General features: G+C 36.8%; 1 protein-coding gene across 11 annotated transcripts in view, besides 1 other annotated feature; it reads left to right on the top strand.

Moving 5' to 3' along the window:
• The window catches only part of BOLL (boule RNA binding protein), a 59,317-nt gene extending 41,966 nt beyond the window's left edge, over window positions 1–17,351 (top strand). For 7 of the 11 annotated variants that reach the window (NM_001284358.2, NM_197970.3, XM_011511692.4 and 4 more), the window contains 2 exons: window positions 1,082–1,180; window positions 15,663–17,351. In NM_001284358.2, coding sequence (NP_001271287.1) covers window positions 1,082–1,180; window positions 15,663–15,686 — 123 coding nt within the window. In that variant the 3' untranslated portion in view covers window positions 15,687–17,351. Of the gene's footprint in view, window positions 1–1,081; window positions 1,181–15,662 lie in introns of those variants that run through there. The other 4 variants (XM_006712715.5, XM_011511693.4, NM_001284361.2 and 1 more) reach the window with 3 other exon arrangements.
• Window positions 14,424–14,994: an enhancer, noted in NCBI's record as "NANOG-H3K27ac-H3K4me1 hESC enhancer chr2:198593971-198594541 (GRCh37/hg19 assembly coordinates)". NCBI's record gives its function as "activates a minimal SCP1, AML or CMV promoter by ChIP-STARR-seq in naive H9 embryonic stem cells {active_cell/tissue: H9 hESC(naive)}" and the evidence as "EXISTENCE:reporter gene assay evidence [ECO:0000049][PMID:30033119]".
• Window positions 17,352–18,753: the final 1,402 nt, after the last annotated feature.

Genomic DNA, 18,753 nt, shown 5'->3' with positions numbered 1-18,753 from the left:
CACTATCCACTACAATAGCCACTAGCCACATGTGGCAGTTGAGCACTTGAAATGCAGTAAGACCGAATTGAGATGTCCCCTAAGTGTAAAATACATACTGGGTTTTGAAGACACAGTGTGAAAAAAGAATGTAGCTGGGCGCAATGGCTCACGCCTGTAATCCCAGCATTTTGGGAGGCCGAGGCGGGTGGATCCCGAGGTCAGGAGATCAAGACCATCCTGGCTAACACGGTGAAACCCCGTCTCTACTAAAAATACAAAAAATTAGCCGGGTGTAGTGGCGGCACCTGTAGTCTCAGCTACTTGGGAGGCTGAGGCAGGAGAATGGTGTGAAGCCGGGAGGTGGAACTTGCAGTGAGCCGAGATCACACCACTGCACTCCAGCCTGGAAGACAGCAAGACTCCATCTCAAAAAAAAAAGAAAAAAGAATGTAAAACATCTTGGTAATGTTTGTATTGATTGTACTTTTATATGATAATATTTAATATGTATTAGTTTAAATAAAAGGTATTACTAAAAATTAATTCTACCATTTTTTATTTTTCTAACATGACAATGGGAAAATTTTAAATAACATATGTAGCTCACATTGTATTTCTATTTGACAGTCCTGGTCTAGAGCCACATCTATCAACAGTATACGTCTACTAGAATTCCTACAGATACCACAAATTTTGTATATCACAAACCTAACTCCTGCTCTGCAACCCCTTACACACAATTACATGAATATTAAGCTTTCCTTGTATTCTATATTCCAATGAATGGTACCACCATCTGCTGGACAAGCCATAACTGCATTTACATAATCTCTTCCCTTGCCTGTTGCATCCCTATACATGTCTATAGGATTTATGATCATTCTGACTACTGTCTATTTCCCTCATCAGATTACAAGTTAATTCATAAGTTAATTCATTATATTAACTCATCAGATTATAAGTTAATTAAACATAAGGGCATGTGTTTTTAACTGTTTCTACATTGTATAGCTAGATGATTAGTATATTGTAAATGCTGAGTAAATATTTAGAATTAATAGATGAAAGGTGACATTTTTTCTCTCTTTTTTTGTAATAGCCTTATTCTGATCATGGAGTTCAAGCAACATATCACCAGGTTTATGCTCCAAGTGCCATCACTATGCCTGCGCCTGTGATGCAGCCTGAGCCAATTAAAGTAAGAAATTTGTTTTGACTTTTTACTTTGTTTTTCTTCCATCATATTTCAAGTTTTCCAACTTTCTCTTCTAGAAAGGAACAATTTTGGATATTTACATCACACTTGTGATCAGAAGTACAGAATTAGCAAACTCATGTGAAGGAAATATAATTCTAAATTAACTATTAACTTTTTTATTTATTGTGGTAATATATGCAACTTAAAAATTTTCTTTTTTAAAAAATTTTTATTTTATTTTATTTTATTATACTTTAAGTTTTAGGGTACATGTGCACAATGTGCAGGTTTGTTACATATGTATACATGTGCCATGTTGGTGTACTGAACCCATTAACTCGTCATTTAGCATTAGGCATATCTCCTAATGCTATCCCTCCCCACTCCCCCCACCCCACAACAGTCCCCGGAGTGTGATGTTCCCCTTCCTGTGTCCATGTGTTCTCATTGTTCAATTCCCACCTATGAGTGAGAACATGCGGTGTTTGGTTTTTTGTCCTTGCAATAGTTTGCTGAGAATGATGGTTTCCAGCTTCATCCATGTCCCTACAAAGGACATGAACTCATCATTTTTTATGGCTGCATAGTATTCCGAGGTGTATATCTGCCACATTTTCTTAATCCAGTCTATCGTTGTTGGACATTTGGGTTGGTTCCAAGTCTTTGCTATTGTGAATAGTGCCGCAATAAACATACGTGTGCATGTGTCTTTATAGCAGCATGATTTGTAGTCCTTTGGGTATATACCCAGTAATGGGATGGCTGGGTCAAATGGTATTTCTAGTTCTAGATCCCTGAGGAATCGCCACACTGACTTCCACAATGGTTGAACTAGTTTACACTCCCACCAACATTGTAAAAGTGTTCCTATTTCTCCACATCCTCTCCAGCACCTGTTGTTTCCTGACTTTTTAATGATCGCCATTCTAACTGGTGTAAGATGGTATCTCATTGTGGTTTTGATTTGCATTTCTCTGATGGCCAGTGATGATGAGCATTTTTTCATGTGTTTTTTGGCTGCATAAATGTCTTCTTTTGAGAAGTGTCTGTTAATATCCTTCACCCACTTTTTGATGGGGTTGTTTTTTTCTTGTAAATTTGTTTGAGTTCATTGTAGATTCTGGATATTAGAGATATCCTTTGTCAGAGGAGTAGATTGTGAAAATTTTCTCCCATTTTGTAGGTTGCCTTTTCACTCTGATGGTAGTTTCTTTTGCTGTGCAGAAGCTCTTTAGTTTAATTAGATCCCATTTGTCAATTTTGGCTTTTGTTGCCATGGCTTTTGGTGTTTTAGACATGAAGTCCTTGCCCATGCCTATGTCCTGAATGGTATTGCCTAGGTTTTCTTCTAGGGTTTTTATGGTTTTAGGTCTAACATGTAAGTCTTTAATCCATCTTGAATTAATTTTTGTATAAGGTGTAAGGAAGGGATCCAGTTTCAGCTTTCTACATATGGCTAGCCAGTTTTCCCAGCACCATTTATTAAATAGGGGATCCTTTCCCCATTTCTTGTTTTTGTCAGGCTTGTCAAAGATCAGATAGTTGTAGATATGCGGCATTATTTCTGAGGGCTCTGTTCTGTTCCATTGGTCTCTATCTCTGTTTTGGTACCAGTACCATGCTGTTTTGGTTACTGTAGCCTTGTAGTATTGTATATCTAGAAAACCCCATTGTCTCAGCCCAAAATCTCCTTAAGCTGATAAGCAACTTCAGAAAAGTCTCAGGATACAAAATCAATGTACAAACATCACAAGTATTCTTATACACCAATAACAGACAAACAGAGAGCCAAATCATGAGTGAACTCCCATTCACAATTGCTTCAAAGAGAATAAAATACCTAGGAATCCAACTTACGAGGGATGTGAAGGACGTCTTCAAGAAGAACTACAAACCACTGCTCAATGAAATAAAAGAGGATACAAACAAATGGAAGAACATTCCATGCTCACGGGTAGGAAGAATCAATATCGTGAAAATGGCCATACTGCCCAAGGTAATTTATAGATTCAATGCCATCCCCATCAAGCTACCAATGGCTTTCTTCACAGAATTGGAAAAAACTACTTTAAAGTTCATATGGAACCAAAAAAGAGCCCTCATTGCCAAGTCAATCCTAAGCCAAAAGAACAAAGCCGGAGGTATCACGCTACCTGACTTCAAACTTAAAAATTTTCTGTTTCAACCATTGTTAAGTGTACAATTCAGTGGCATTAATTACATTCACAATGCTATGCAACCATCACCATTGTTTTCAAACCTTTTCCTCATCCCAAGTTGAAACTCTGTGCACCCATTAAGCAATAACTCTTCCTATGTGCTTCCTCTCAACCCCTAGTCCCTGGTAACCTCTAATTTACTTTCTATCTATATGAATTTGCCTATTCTAGATATTTAATATACAGTACTCTGATTTTTATTATCTATGTTGATGACATGTGACATTTATGGGGAGGTGAAAACAATTAATGATCTCCTTTTCCAGTTTGGGAACCATGTTCATGCCTCCTTAGTCAGATTCAGGCCAAAGAATGATAATCCAGTTATACCCATGTATACACTCAATATATTTTGACTATCTACTATGTACAGGGAATTCTTCCTATTCCCTTATGAACAAGTTTCTTGGTGAAACTCTTGCATCATCCCTTTAAGGAAATGAACTTTATCTGCAGTAAAGAGCCACAGACTGATCAACTGTTGAGATGGTAATATGAATCCTGCATACAGTGTACTTTGGTGAGGAAGGTAGGCATAGTCTTTGCATTAAAATAATGGATATTAGCTATTTCACACTCATATTTATGTTCTGGCCCATCCTATGTGTTGAACTCAATACCAAGACAGTCTACTTTAAGGAGCCTCCCGGTCTTCTCGTGACCCTTCACACCATTACCACTCACTGCCATTACCACTCACTGCATCCCTTCATTGGCTTTATCACTATACACCAAACATGAAATAAAACCATAATTTTGACATATTGTCAAAACCTATAGTGTTACTAAACATTACTCATAGAGGCTTCATTTTTAGTATTGTTAGAAAATCTTCTAAAATAGACTTCTTCTGTCGTTAACATTTACTCCAAATATACTTTTGCAGAAATGGCTGATGTTGCTATGCCATATTATGTAAGTGATAGTTATTTTCAGTTACTGAGAGAGAGCTATATCACAAAGTGATGGAAATTGTGTAATTTATACAATTATACAAATTGAATAATTTGAATAGAGGATGGAGTGGTGGGTGGTATTTGGATAGGAGAAATTTCCAAAGGATGTTAATGTTAAACATTCTTAAAATTTAATTCTTCTAGTTTAAGAGTATATATTTCTCTAAATGTTCTTAGATCTGTGAGTAGGTAACATCAGAAATTGTACAGAGAAACTGGTATCTTACTCTTTAATATAGTCATATAAAGATTACCAATTCTGGCCAACTGTGGTGGCTCATGCCTGCAATCCCAGCACTTTGGGAGGCCAAGGTAGGAGGATTGCTTGAAGCCAGGAGTTTGAGAGCATAGTGAGACCCTGCCTCTACAAAATAAAAATTTTAAAAACTATCTGGGCATGGTGGTGCACCCCTATAGTGCTAACTCCTCAGCCTCTACAAAATAAAAATTTTAAAAACTATCTGGGCATGGTGGTGCACCCCTATAGTGCTAACTACTCAGGAGGCTGAGGCAGGATGATCACTTGAGCCCAAAGGTTCAAGGTTACAGTGAGCTATGATCACGCCACTGCATTCTAGTTTGGGCAACAGAGTGAAACCATGTATATCTCTAAAATAAAAAAATAATAATAATTACCAATTCCTCTTTTGTTAGAGATGGAAAAAAATAGACTTCCAAAGTCAAAACTGGAGCACAAGATAGTTATGTAGAATTTTGTGTTTCTCATTTTTATTTTTTAAGATTAAATGTTCTATGCATTTTATACTCAATATTTTTCTTTAGGTGACTTAGTGGCCCTCAATACAAAACGATACCCCACTCAGAGACAGAAACTCCAAAACCACTTCTGTAGTTTTCTAGAACTATATAATGCTGTAGAAATGCTTTAATATGCATGTATTACTATGTGGCAAATTATCTATTTTCATTTACAGTGCATTTCTATTATAACATGGAAATCTTAATATACAAATGTTGTTCTACATTATGAAACAATCTTTTTCTAGAACATATTACTAATATTAAAATATTAGTGAATGACATTTGAAACATTAGCCTTTTTTTACTTCCAATGCAAATTTTCTCTAGTACCAAAAATCTTGGTGACTTTTAAAATAGAAAGGTGGAAATATTCTTTGGAGGAGTTGTTGTTTTTATAAGCGTAAAACTCATTTTTAAAGCTCTAATGATTACAACTCATGAATGTTAATTGAAGATATCCCAAAGTAGGAATTTCAAATGTCAAAATTATCTTGAAGCAACAAATCTATTCCATAAAATAGAAACCTTATGCAGAGTTTGAAGCACAAGTCTAACTGCTGTGAAGTACTGTTTACCAGAAACTACTCATTGGCTGTAAGCCACAGCCTACATACTCTGTCAAATCAAATACAAAAACGAATAAATACAAAACAGACCAATATAGAGGTAACTAGATTAATATAATACTAATTAGGGCCATCATTCCCTAATTCAGCAGTAACATCTTATACAGAATCAAGTTTTAGGCCAGGTGTGGTAACTCACACCTGAACCCCAGCACTTTGGGAGGCCAAGGCAGGAGGATCACTTGAGCCAGGAGTTTAAGGCCAGCCTGGCAATATGGCGAGACCCCATCTCTAATTTTAAAAAAGAAATAAAAGAGAATTAAGTTTTAAAGTCAAAAAAAGCAAAACCACATAATGTCAAAATTATCCCACTGAACTAGACTAGGAAGGAACAAAAGGAAAATCTGTGTTTCTGGGTATGTGAACTATTATGTTTCTAAGATAAATATCAAATCCCAAGGTATGAAGGGTATAAGTGGAGAATTCTCAAGTGTTTTGGTTTTCTTACAGTGTTTTTACATTTTTGCATTAATATAAGCATCTAATAAAATTGTTCTTATATGGATTAAGTTCAATGTGTATTTTATTTAACTCCCATGTCTACTAACAATCGATGAAAACATATGGCTATTAAGGATCATATTTAACCTCTTGCCCAGGCTATAAGGAATTTCTTCTAAGTAAAATACTGATTGGACTTAAATGAAAAACACAACTAATGGTCGACAAAGTATGATTCAGAAGTAAATTGGAGAGGGATCTGAACTACTACCACTATCTACTTCTAGTTCAGAGGCCCAGAGCGTGCACTTACCTAAAAATTAGCAACTATATCTGCTTTACAAAAAGATTCCACTACCAGTATTTTTTTCCCAACCATTTCCTCATTTGAGTATCATTAATACTTATGAATCAATTTAGAGACTCAAATTGTCTTGTATTCTGAAAAACCTGGGAAGGACAAGTATAAAGCAATGTAATCTAGAGGACAGAGGCAGGAAAAGCTCTGAATATATAAGGAGGGTATAAATTTTCATGTATGCTATATATAGTCAAACAATAGACAGCCTCAGATTCTCTAGAATAAGTTTTTTACTCATAAAGAACTAGGCAGGAGGAGCAAAAAATGCTCACCCACTTAGACATTAGAAATTGTATAGGTTCTGTGTCTACCAAGACTCCTTTTTGATGTAAGGACAGTAAGGAGAATCAAGTGTTCATGACACCAATTCTAATTGTCATGAGTAGATCCCCATTCAAGGATGAGTAAACAGAAAAGTATGTATTATATGGATTCTGTGAAAAAAAATTGAATATGGCACTACATTGAAGGCAAGGATGAATAGTATAAATATGTATATATGTATAAGAACGTATGTATTAGAGGAAATTAAATACAATTTTTAAGATGTATCCCATGTTCTCAGTAATAGATCTTTAAGAAACAATTGCAAGCTGAAAAACAGGAAAAATGAAATGGTTGCTGGCTAGTGTAAGAAAATACTGCCCAAAAACTATTGACATGATGGAAAGAATCATATTTGCCTTTGTCATAAAGGGCCAGTAGTCACAAAAGAAAATGAAATCCTTCATAGAGAGGGATATTTTTAATTCTTCCAGAATGTAAAAGAAAATAACATGAAAGATTAAATGATGAGATAAAATGCTAGAATAGAGAGAGCAGAGAGACAGGTCCAACCAAAAAAATAGTAATTCTCAAGAAAAGAATACAGAATAAATGGAACAGAAAGAATGTGCAGAAATTTTAACAGCAAAACAAAATCAAAAACACTGTGACTTGAATTTACAAATCAAAAAAGGATTCATCATGCCTCAAGCAAAATTAATGAGAAGCAACCCATGCATAGATATCCTGGCAGTTATCCTCCCCCATCATCCCATCCCACCAAATGTCCTTGGCCTTTTAACCTATTTTTTAACATTTTATTTTAAAATAATTTTACACTTACAGAAAGGTTGTAAAAATAATACATAGAGTTCATGTATCTCTTCACTCAACTTCTAACAGCTTATAATTGAAACAATTAGCAAAACGAAGAAATTAGCATTCATAAAGTACTGTTAAGTAAACTACAGACCTATTAAGTGAACTACAAACTTCACCATTTTTTTCACTTATGTTCTTTTTCTGTTCTAGGATCTAATCTAAGATCCTACATTAATTTGTCATGTCTCCTTATTCTCCACCAATCTGTGACATTTACATAGTCTTTTATTGTCTTTCATGACCTTGATTCTTTTTTAAAATATTGATTAGTTATTTTGTAGAACACTCTTCACTTTTGTTGGCCTATGTTTTCTCTTAATTAGATAAAGGGTATGAATTTGGGACAATAATATCACAGAGGTGATATGCCCTTATCAGTGTGTCATATCAGGGGATATGAGATGCCAATATGTCTAATTACTGGCAGTGTTAATTTGATCACTTTAAGCTTAAAAAGTAACTTGCCCACAGTAGCATAGTTGAGTAAGTGGCAGATCCAGGATTCTAATCCAAGCATGCTTTCTACCACAGAGAAAAAGTTCGATGGTCTCTTAAATCCTTGAAGTGAAGATCACTGACAAACCATGCACAAAGAACTTCCCATTAGGATTTTAGTGCCTCCCTCTTAACTATGACGTGCAGCCACGTTAGAAGAAAACCTCTAGGGTGAGAGAACAAAATAAACAGAAAAAAAGAAATTCATAAGAAACATACAATGCAGGGAGCAGAAGAAAATATCAAAGAAACTACAATTAATATCCTCTCCGAAACAGGCAAAAACTAATGAGAAGTGGGACATGCATAGACAGCCTGATACTTTTTCTCTCAAATATCTGTCCTTTTAATTTTTTTAGCCTTGCATTTTGAAATAATTTCAGATTTACTGAGAAGTTATAGAAATAATAGAGTTTCTGTATATCCTTCACCTACTTCATCCTTTGGCTAGAGGGCACAGGCACAGGAAATGAACATCAGTACAGTCGTCTAAACTATACACCTTATTCTAAAATGTCACTAGTTTTTCCACTAATGTGATAATTGAAATAAATTATGTGTGAGTTAAATATTACAGGCAAAAGTTTTCAGAACGTAGAATCAAAAAAGACTGAGGTGAATAATAATAGAGAAAAGATAAAATTAGATTAATCCCAGAAGTCAAATATTTTTTAAATTGCAGAAAGAGGAATAGAGAAAAATCATTGGAGGAAATTATCAATAAATTAATAGAAGAAAACTTCCTAGAAACTTAAGGACAAGAGTCTCTAAATTGAAAAGGCCTACCAACTACTTGCCACAATTACTGCAAAAGACTCACACTAAGGCCAATTATTGTGAAATTTCAGAATGGCAGGAATAATAGAAAAAATTCCAAAAGCTTCTAAAGAGAGAAAATAGATCACATTTCCCCTTGATCTTATCCATTTTTTTAAATAAATTTTACAGTAACTTTTACCTCAAATGTATCATGTAACCTGGAAATAGTTATCTCAATGGTTCACTTTGTAAGAATGTACAGTGTATTTTTGCAGTAATTTTCTGCTTCATTTTTCATTATGCAGACTTTAAATAGAATTCTTTTTTTTAATTTTATTATTATTATACTTTAAGTTTTAGGATACATGTGCACAACGTGCAGATTCATTACATATGTATACGTGTGCCATGTTGGTGTGCTGCACCCATTAACTCGTCATTTAGCATTAGGCATATCTCCTAATGCTATCCCTCCCCGCTCCACCCGCAACAGTCCCCTCTGTGTGATATTCCCCTTCCTGTGTCCAAGTTTTCTCATTGTTCAATTCCCACCTATGAGTGAGAACATGCGGTGTTTGGTTTTTTGTCCTTGCAATAGTTTGCTGAGAATGATGGTTTCCAGCTTCATCCATGTCCCTACAAAGGACATGAACTCATCATTTTTTATGGCTGCATAGTATTCCATGGTGTATATCTGCCACATTTTCTTAATCCACTCTATCATTGTTGGACATTTGGGTTGGTTCCAAGTCTTTGCTATTGTGAATAGTGCCGTGATAAACATACGTGTGCGTCTTTATATCAGCATGATTTATAACCCTTTGGGTATATACCCAGTAATGGGATGGCTGGGTCAAATGGTATTTCTAGTTCTAGATCCCTGAGGAATCGCCACACTGACTTCCACAATGGTTGAACTGGTTTACAGTCCCACCAACAGTGTAAAAGTGTTCCTATTTCTCCACATCTTCTCCAGCACCTGTTGTTTCCTGACTTTTTAATGATCGCCATTCTAACTGGTGTGAGATGGTATCTCATTGTGGTTTTGATTTGCATTTCTCTGATGGCCAGTGATGATGAGCATTTTTTCATGTGTTTTTTGGCTGCATAAATGTCTTCTTTTGAGAAGTGTCTGTTCATATCCTTCGCCCACTTTTTGATGGGGTTGTTTGTTTTTTTCTTGTAAATTTGTTTGAGTTCATTGTAGATTCTGGATATTAGCCCTTTGTCAGATGAGTAGGTTGCAAAAATTTTCTCCCATTTTGTAGGTTGCCTGTTCACTCTGATGGTAGTTTCTTTTGCTGTGCAGAAGCTCTTGAGTTTAATTAGATCCCATTTGTCAATTTTGGCTTTTGTTGCCATGGCTTTTGGTGTTTTAGACATGAAGTCCTTGCCCATGCCTATGTCTTGAATGGTATTGCCTAGGTTTTCTTCTAGGGTTTTTATGGTTTTACGTCTAACATGTAAGTCTTTAATCCATCTTGAATTAATTCTTGTGTAAGGTGTAAGGAAGGGATCCAGTTTCAGCTTTCTACATATGGCTAGCCAGTTTTCCCAGCACCATTTATTAAATAGGGAATCCTTTCCCCATTGCTTGTTTTTCTCAGGCTTGTCAAAGATCAGATAGTTGTAGATATGTGGCATTATTTCTGAGGGCTCTGTTCTGTTCCATTGGTCTCTATCTCTGTTTTGGTACCAGTACCATGCTGTTTTGGTTACTGTAGCCTTGTAGTATAGTTTGAAGTCAGGTAGCGTGATGCCTCCAGCTTTGTTCTTTTGGCTTAGGATTGACTTGGCGATGCGGGCTCTTTTTTGGTTCCATATGAACTTTAAAGTAGTTTCTTCCAATTCTGTGAAGAAAGTCATTGGTAGCTTGATGGGGATGGCATTGAATCTGTAAATTACCTTGGGCAGTATGGCCATTTTCACGATATTGATTCTTCCTACCCATGAGCATGGAATGTTCTTCCATTTGTTTGTATCCTCTTTTATTTCGTTGAGCAGTGGTTTGTAGTTCTCCTTGAAGAGGTCCTTCACATCCCTTGTAAGTTGGATTCCTAGGTATTTTATTCTCTTTGAAGCAATTGTGAATGGGAGTTCACTCATGATTTGGCTCTCTGTTTGTCTGTTGTTGGTGTATAAGAATGCTTGTGATTTTTGTACATTGATTTTGTATCCTGAGACTTTGCTGAAGTTGCTTATCAGCCTAAGGAGATTTTGGGCTGAGACAATGGGGTTTTCTAGATATACAATCATGTCGTCTGCAAACAGGGACAATTTGACTTCCTCTTTTCCTAATTGAATACCCTTTATTTCCTTCTCCTGCCTAATTGCCCTGGCCAGAACTTCCAACACTATGTTGAATAGGAGTGGTGAGAGAGGGCATCCCCGTCTTGTGCCAGTTTTCAAAGGGAATGCTTCCAGTTTTTGCCCATTCAGTATGATATTGGCTGTGGGTTTGTCATAGATAGCTCTTATTATTTTGAAATACGTCCCATCAATACCTAATTTATTGAGAGTTTTTAGCATGAAGGGTTGTTGAATTTTGTCAAAGGCTTTTTCTGCATCTATTCAGATAATCATGTGGTTTTTGTCTTTGGCTCTGTTTATATGCTGGATTACATTTATTGATTTGCGTATATTGAACCAGTCTTGCATCCCAGGGATGAAGCCCACTTGATCATGGTGGATAAGCTTTTTGATGTGCTGCTGGATTCATTTTGCCAGTATTTTATTGAGGATTTTTGCATCAATGTTCATCAAGGATATTGGTCTAAAATTCTCTTTTTTTGTTGTGTCTCTTCCTGGCTTTGGTATCAGAATGATGCTGGCCTCATAAAATGAGTTAGGGAGGATTCCCTCTTTTTCTATTGATTGGAATAGTTTCAGAAGGAATGGTACCAGTTGTTCCTTGTACCTCTGGTAGAATTCAGCTGTGAATCCATCTGGTCCTGGACTCTTTTTGGTTGGTAAGCTATTGATTATTGCCACAATTTCAGCTCCTGTTATTGGTCTATTCAGAGATTCAACTTCTTCCTGGTTTAGTCTTGGGAGAGTGTATGTGTCGAGAAATTTATCCATTTCTTCTAGATTTTCTAGTTTATTTGCGTAGAGGTGTTTGTAGTATTCTCTGATGGTAGTTTGTATTTCTGTGGGCTCGGTGGTGATATCCCCTTTATCATTTTTTATTGCGTCTATTTGATTCTTCTCTCTTTTTTTCTTTATTAGTCTTGCTAGCGGTCTATCAATTTTGTTGATCCTTTCAAAAAACCAGCTCCTGGATTCATTAATTTTTTGAAGGGTTTTTTGTGTCTCTATTTCCTTCAGTTCTGCTCTTAGTTATTTCTTGCCTTCTGCTAGCTTTTGAATGTGTTTGCTCTTGCTTTTCTAGTTCTTTTAATTGTGAGGTTAGGGTGTCAATTTTGTATCTTTCCTGCTTTCTCTTGTGGGCATTTAGTGCTATAAATTTCTCTCTACACACTGCTTTGAATGCGTCCCAGAGATTCTGGTATGTTGTGTCTTTGCTCTCGTTGGTTTCAAAGAACATCTTTATTTCTGCCTTCATTTTGTTATGTACCCAGTAGTCATTCAGGAGCAGGTTGTTCAGTTTCCATGTATTTGAGCAGTTTTGAGTGAGATTCTTAATCCTGAGTTCTAGTTTGATTGCACTGTGGTCTGAGAGATAGTTTGTTATAATTTCTGTTCTTTTACATTTGCTGAGGAGAGCTTTACTTCCAACTATGTGGTCAATTTTGGAATAGGTGTGGTGTGGTGCTGAAAAAAATGTATATTCTGTTGATTTGGGGTGGAGAGTTCTGTAGATGTCTGTTAGGTCTGCTTGGTGCAGAGCTGAGTTCAATTCCTGGGTATCCTTGTTGACTTTCTGTCTCGTTGATCTGTCTAATGTTGACAGTGGGGTGTTAAAGTCTCCCATTATTAATGTGTGGGAGTCTAAGTCTCTTTGTAGGTCACTCAGGACTTGCTTTATGAATCTTGGTGCTCCTGTATTGGGTGCATATATATTTAGGATAGTTAGCTCTTCTTGTTGAACTGATCCCTTTACCATTATGTAATGGCCTTCTTTGTCTCTTTTGATCTTTGTTGGTTTAAAGTCTGTTTTATCCAAGACCAGGATTGCAACCCCTGCCTTTTTTTGTTTTCCATTGGCTTGGTAGGTCTTCCTCCATCCTTTTATTTTGAGCCTATGTGTGTCTCTGCAAGTGAGGTGGGTTTCCTGAATACAGCACACTGATGGGTCTTGACTCTTTATCCAATTTGCCAGTCTGTGTCTTTTAATTGGAGCATTTAGTCCATTTACATTTAAAGTTAATATTGTTATGTGTGAATTTGATCCTGTCATTATGATGTTAGCTGGTTATTTTTCTCATTAGTTGATGCAGTTTCTTCCTAGTCTCGATGGTCTTTACATTTTGGCATGATTTTGCAGCGGCTGGTACCGGTTGTTCCTTTCCATGTTTAGTGCTTCCTTTAGGAGCTCTTGTAAGGCAGGCCTGGTGGTGACAAAATCTCTCAGCATTTGCTTGTCTGTAAAAGATTTTATTTCTCCTTCACTTATGAAGCTTAGTTTGGCTGGATATGAAATTCTGGGTTGAAAATTCTTTTCTTTAAGAATGTTGAATATTGGCCCCCACTCTCTTCTGGCTTGTAGGGTTTCTGCCGAGAGATCCGCTGTTAGTCTGATGGGCTTCCCTTTGAGGGTAACCCGACCTTTCTCTCTGGCTGCCCTCAACATTTTTTCCTTCATTTCAACTTTGGTGAATCTGACAATTATGTGTCTTGGAGTTGCTCTTCTCGAGGAGTATCTTTGTGGCGTTCTCTGTATTTCCTGAATCTGAACGTTGGCCTGCCTTGCTAGATTGGGGAAGTTCTCCTGGATAATATCCTGCAGAGTGTTTTCCAACTTGGTTCCATTCTCCCCATCACTTTCAGGTACACCAGTCAGACGTAGATTTGGTCTTTTCACATAGTCCCATATTTCTTGGAGGCTTTGCTCATTTCTTTTTATTCTTTTTTCTCTAAACTTCCCTTCTCGCTTCATTTCATTCATTTCATCTTCCATCGCTGATACCCTTTCTTCCAGTTGATCGCATTGGCTCCTGAGGCTTCTTCATTCTTCACGTAGTTCTCGAGCCTTGGTTTTCAGCTCCATCAGCTCCTTTAAGCACTTCTCTGTATTGGTTATTCTAGTTATACATTCTTCTAAATTTTTTTCAAAGTTTTCAACTTCTTTGCCTTTGGTTTGAATGTCCTCCCGTAGCTCAGAGTAATTTGATCGTCTGAAGCCTTCTTCTCTCAGCTCGTCAAAGTCATTCCCCATCCAGCTTTGTTCTGTTGCTGGTGAGGAACTGCGTTCCTTTGGAGGAGGAGAGACACTCTGCTTTTTAGAGTTTCCAGTTTTTCTGTTCTGTTTTTTCCCCATCTTTGTGGTTTTATCTACTTTTGGTCTTTGATGATGGTGATGTACAGATGGGTTTTTGGTGTGGATGTCCTTTCTGTTTGTTAGTTTTCCTTCTAACAGAGAGGACCCTCAGCTGCAGGTCTGTTGGAATACCCTGCCCTGTGAGGTGTCAGTGTGCCCCTGGTGGGGGGTGCCTCCCAGTTAGGCTGCTTGGGGGTCAGGGGTCAGGGACCCACTTGAGGAGGCAGTCTGCCCGTTCTCAGATCTCCAGCTGCATGCTGGGAAAACCACTGCTCTCTTCAAAGCTGTCAGACAGGGACATTTAAGTCTGCAGAGGTTACTGATCTTTTTGTTTGTCTGTGCCCTGCCCCCAGAGGTGGAGCCTACAGAGGCAGGCAGGCCTCCTTGAGCTGTGCTGGGCTCCACCCAGTTGGAGCTTCCCAGCTGCTTTGTTTACCTAATCAAGCCTGGGCAATGGCGGGCGCCCCTCCCCCAGCCTCGCTGCCGCCTTGCAGTTAGAGCTCAGACTGCTGTGCTAGCAATCAGCGAGACTCCGTGGGCGTAGGACCCTCCGAGCCAGGTGCGAGATATAATCTCGTGGTGCGCCGTTTTTTAAGCCCGTCGGAAAAGCGCAGTAGTGACCCGATTTTCCAGGTGCCGTCCATCACCCCTTTCTTTGACTCAGAAAGGGAACTCCCTGACCCCTTGCGCTTCCCAAGTGAGGCAATGCCTCGCCCTGCTTCAGCTTGCGCACGGTGCACGCACCCACTGACCTGCGCCCACTGTCTGGCACTCCCTAGTGAGATGAACCCGGTACCTCAGATGGAAATGCAGAAATCACCCGTCTTCTGCGTCGCTCACGCTGGGAGCTGTAGACCGGAGCTGTTCCTATTCGGCCATCTTGGCTCCTCCCCTGGACAGCGTTCTAAATAGCCTCCTGCCAAAAATACTATTCCCCTTTTAAAAACAAGTTTTTAAGACCCACCTAATAGAAGGAAATGTTGTAACTCGTAATCTGTGCTGACCCATCCCTCATTTTATTTACTCAACATTTATACTGTAACACTAGACTAGAGATTGTCTAATATAGATTCTAAGCTCTCAGAGAGCAGGTTTTCCTGAGTTCTGGAGCCCTCCTAAATTGCTAGCCTCTCACTTTGTAACATTCTAATTTAATTGGTACCAAGGTTCTGCAAATATTTAGTGAATGTTGATTGATGGTCTGTACTCATCTGTTCTAACTTATCTTTTTTTTTCCATTCAGTCTTCCTGATCTATATTTTCTCTTTACTTAACAGACAGTGTGGAGCATTCATTATTAAGACAATTGGGCAGCTCTATTCCAGCTCAACTGATTTCTTGTCCAATGATCCTTGCGTGGCCGAGATCCAGCTTCAACGAACCAGCTAGAAGCTGCCCGTTGTGAAACTTAGTGTTAGTTAATACCTCACCATACTCAGTTATTCCACTATAAGCTGTCTAAATTTGATGAAATTTGCTTTTTCAGCTGTTCTACAAAATTATTTAGGTAGATGTGGCATGTTGGTTTTTTATGTGCTAACCTAACTGTAATGACCTTTTCTACAACATGTTTTATCCATTCCATAAATAATAACCACATTGGGAATAGTGAGGTGTCTTTTATTTTCTCTGCTTTGTGTTATTTTTTCTTATCAAACAATTAGATGTTATGTTTCATATTATTTGATATTTATTTTCATATTTAGGATAAGAATCATTTTTAATTATAATACTTTTAATACTTTCATATATTTTACAACAGTATACTATTTAATATTAATGACAATTCTATTTTTGCTTTGCTGTTTTGTCATTTAATATGCTTTTGTCTAATTTTTAATTCATTTATTACTGTTACTCCTTATTTAATTTTGCGTCTGCCATGGTTTTCAGAATCTGAATAGTATTTATACTTCTTTTTTATAACATTTTCCAAATATTAGAAATACCATCAACATGATCAGTATTCTTGCCTTTTCATGTAATTTGACTATATTAAATTTTTTCTCCAGTGTTTGAGACAATATTGAAATCTTCCTATAACATAATTTATTTGGTATCAAATTTTATAAAATATGGATCCACCTTTGGAATTTTGATAAAAGGGTTCATCTCTGACATGATCCCATAACACTGACTGAAATTCCACCAAATTACTGTTCTTTGAATGCTTTAATCCTTAAACCTTTTCTTCTGATATGCAACCAATATATTCAATTATATATGTGATTAATTTTTAAAAGGACAATTGTTTTCATAAAATGCAAAACTATTTTTTACACCAAAGGAAAATTTTAGATTCTGATTCTAAATCCGATTTTTACTATAAAATTGGAAAATAGATGGGAGGGGTGTCATTCATTGTTCAAAAGGTACAGAACAAATCATAGGGGTTTTTAATCTCTAAAATTTCTACAGTAGTACAGGAAATATTCCTCTTTACATTCATTTGCAGTTCTTTCACTGACCTCCTAATTTTAGGTGGAGGGGGCAGGGGGAGCCATAAAAGTTGGTATTACCCTAATAAATCTATCTCTTTCCTCCCCTGTTTCAACCCCACATGTATTCCATGCTCAGCAGCAGCAGCAGAAATAGTAGGATATAGATCACAAAGGTTTTTCTGGTGAGTCAAATAGGGTGTTTTCTTTTGAAACTGTAATGAATATGTTTGCCAGTCAAATGGCTTCATGAGAACAGTAGAACCTTATGAATGTATACTAGCATACAAGGATCTCAAATACATTAATTATTCTCAGTTTTAGGAATGTAAATAGATTAAGTCCCACAATGAAATTTCAGAAGTTTTTGTTCTGTAAGTAAAAAATTACTAACCACTGATGTTCAAGATTTTCTTTTAATAGCACTATCCTTGAGAACCAAAAAGTTTATGTTTTGATTTTCAAATGTTAAACAAGATGCTAAACAAATCCTGGACTGTTAATAAAAATTAATTATGTATTATTGGATAAGGAATTTTGATGATAATTGATACCCAAGTGTGTTTCTTCCACAACTATATAGATTATATGCATACACATATATACATGTTTATATGCATATATACACACACATATATAATTTATACATATGCACTTTCTTAGAATTTAGCTTTATTTTGAGAAGCTACTAAAAATTTTGGGAGTTTGACAATCTGAATAAATGGAGGATATCATACAGCCTTCTTCATGGCCTAGCTTAATAGCCCAAACATGTTACTTTTTTTTTTTTTTTTTTTTTTTTTAAGAGACTGTCTTGCTCTGGGGCCCAGGTTGGAATGCAGTTATGCGATCATGGCTCACTGTGACCTCAAACTCCTGGGCTTAAGCCATCCTTTCACCTCAGCCTCCCTAGTAGCTAGGATTACAGGCATGCACCACCACACCCAGCTAATTTTTTATTTTTTGTAGAGACAGGGTCTTACTAGGTTCCCCAAGCTGGTCTCAAACTCCTGGGCTCAAGTGATCTTCCTACTTTGGCCATCCAAAGTGCTGAGATTACAGGCGTGAGCCATTGTACCCAGCCCCACACATGTTACTTCTAAAAACAGATAGATTGAGAGACAAAAATTCTCCTTACATATACTAAGTAAAGCCCATTTTATTTATTTCTATTTTGTAGTATATCTCTGATAATTTTGAAAATTAAGGTTTTACTTAGGACCCATTTTGAAAGGCAAATCTGAAGAAATTATCTGAAATTCACTGGGTGTTAGAATAAAATGGATAATACAGATATTAGTACATGTACCAAAATCACAAGGTAATAACTTTGCAGCCTGTTTTCCAAAAATCTCTAATACAATCTGAGATAGAAAGATGGTAACATGTCAAAAGATAAAGCATCTTGGGAAATTAGGCTTTAACTTCCTCTGTCAGCTGATTTCAGAAGGATGGCTTGGAAAGAGGTACGATTTAGTTTAAAACAGATTGCTTTATAAATTTCCACCGACAAGAACAGTACAATTATTTTCAAACAAATTTATACATGATAACCCCCATATGTAGGAGTGTGTTTCCTAGATTTATGCTACGCTTAACTATAAAATAATGATTTGGGGGTCACACATAAAAATTATTCGTATCTTTCCCAGAAATTGCACTTCAATAGAATTAAAATACAGAATCAAAGGACTTTAGGAGGGCATCCAATACAACTTCAATATCATGCTTCAACATGCTCTTTGTTACTGTAATAAATTGTTGGCCTCTAGATCTATAGTTTGACTCCAGTTTATCCTGAAATCCCTATAGACTTAAAAGTGGCAAAGAGGAAAATTTTACCCAAAGAATGAATATAAGTAATATTCATAATTGGTGCGGTTTCTTTCAACTCTATTCAGTGTTTTTATCCCTGTGCATAAGTCCTTAA

This window comes from Homo sapiens, chromosome 2 (assembly GCF_000001405.40).
Source record: "Homo sapiens chromosome 2, GRCh38.p14 Primary Assembly".
NCBI lineage: Eukaryota > Metazoa > Chordata > Mammalia > Primates > Hominidae > Homo > Homo sapiens.
This window is presented reverse-complemented; position numbering and strand designations above follow the sequence as displayed.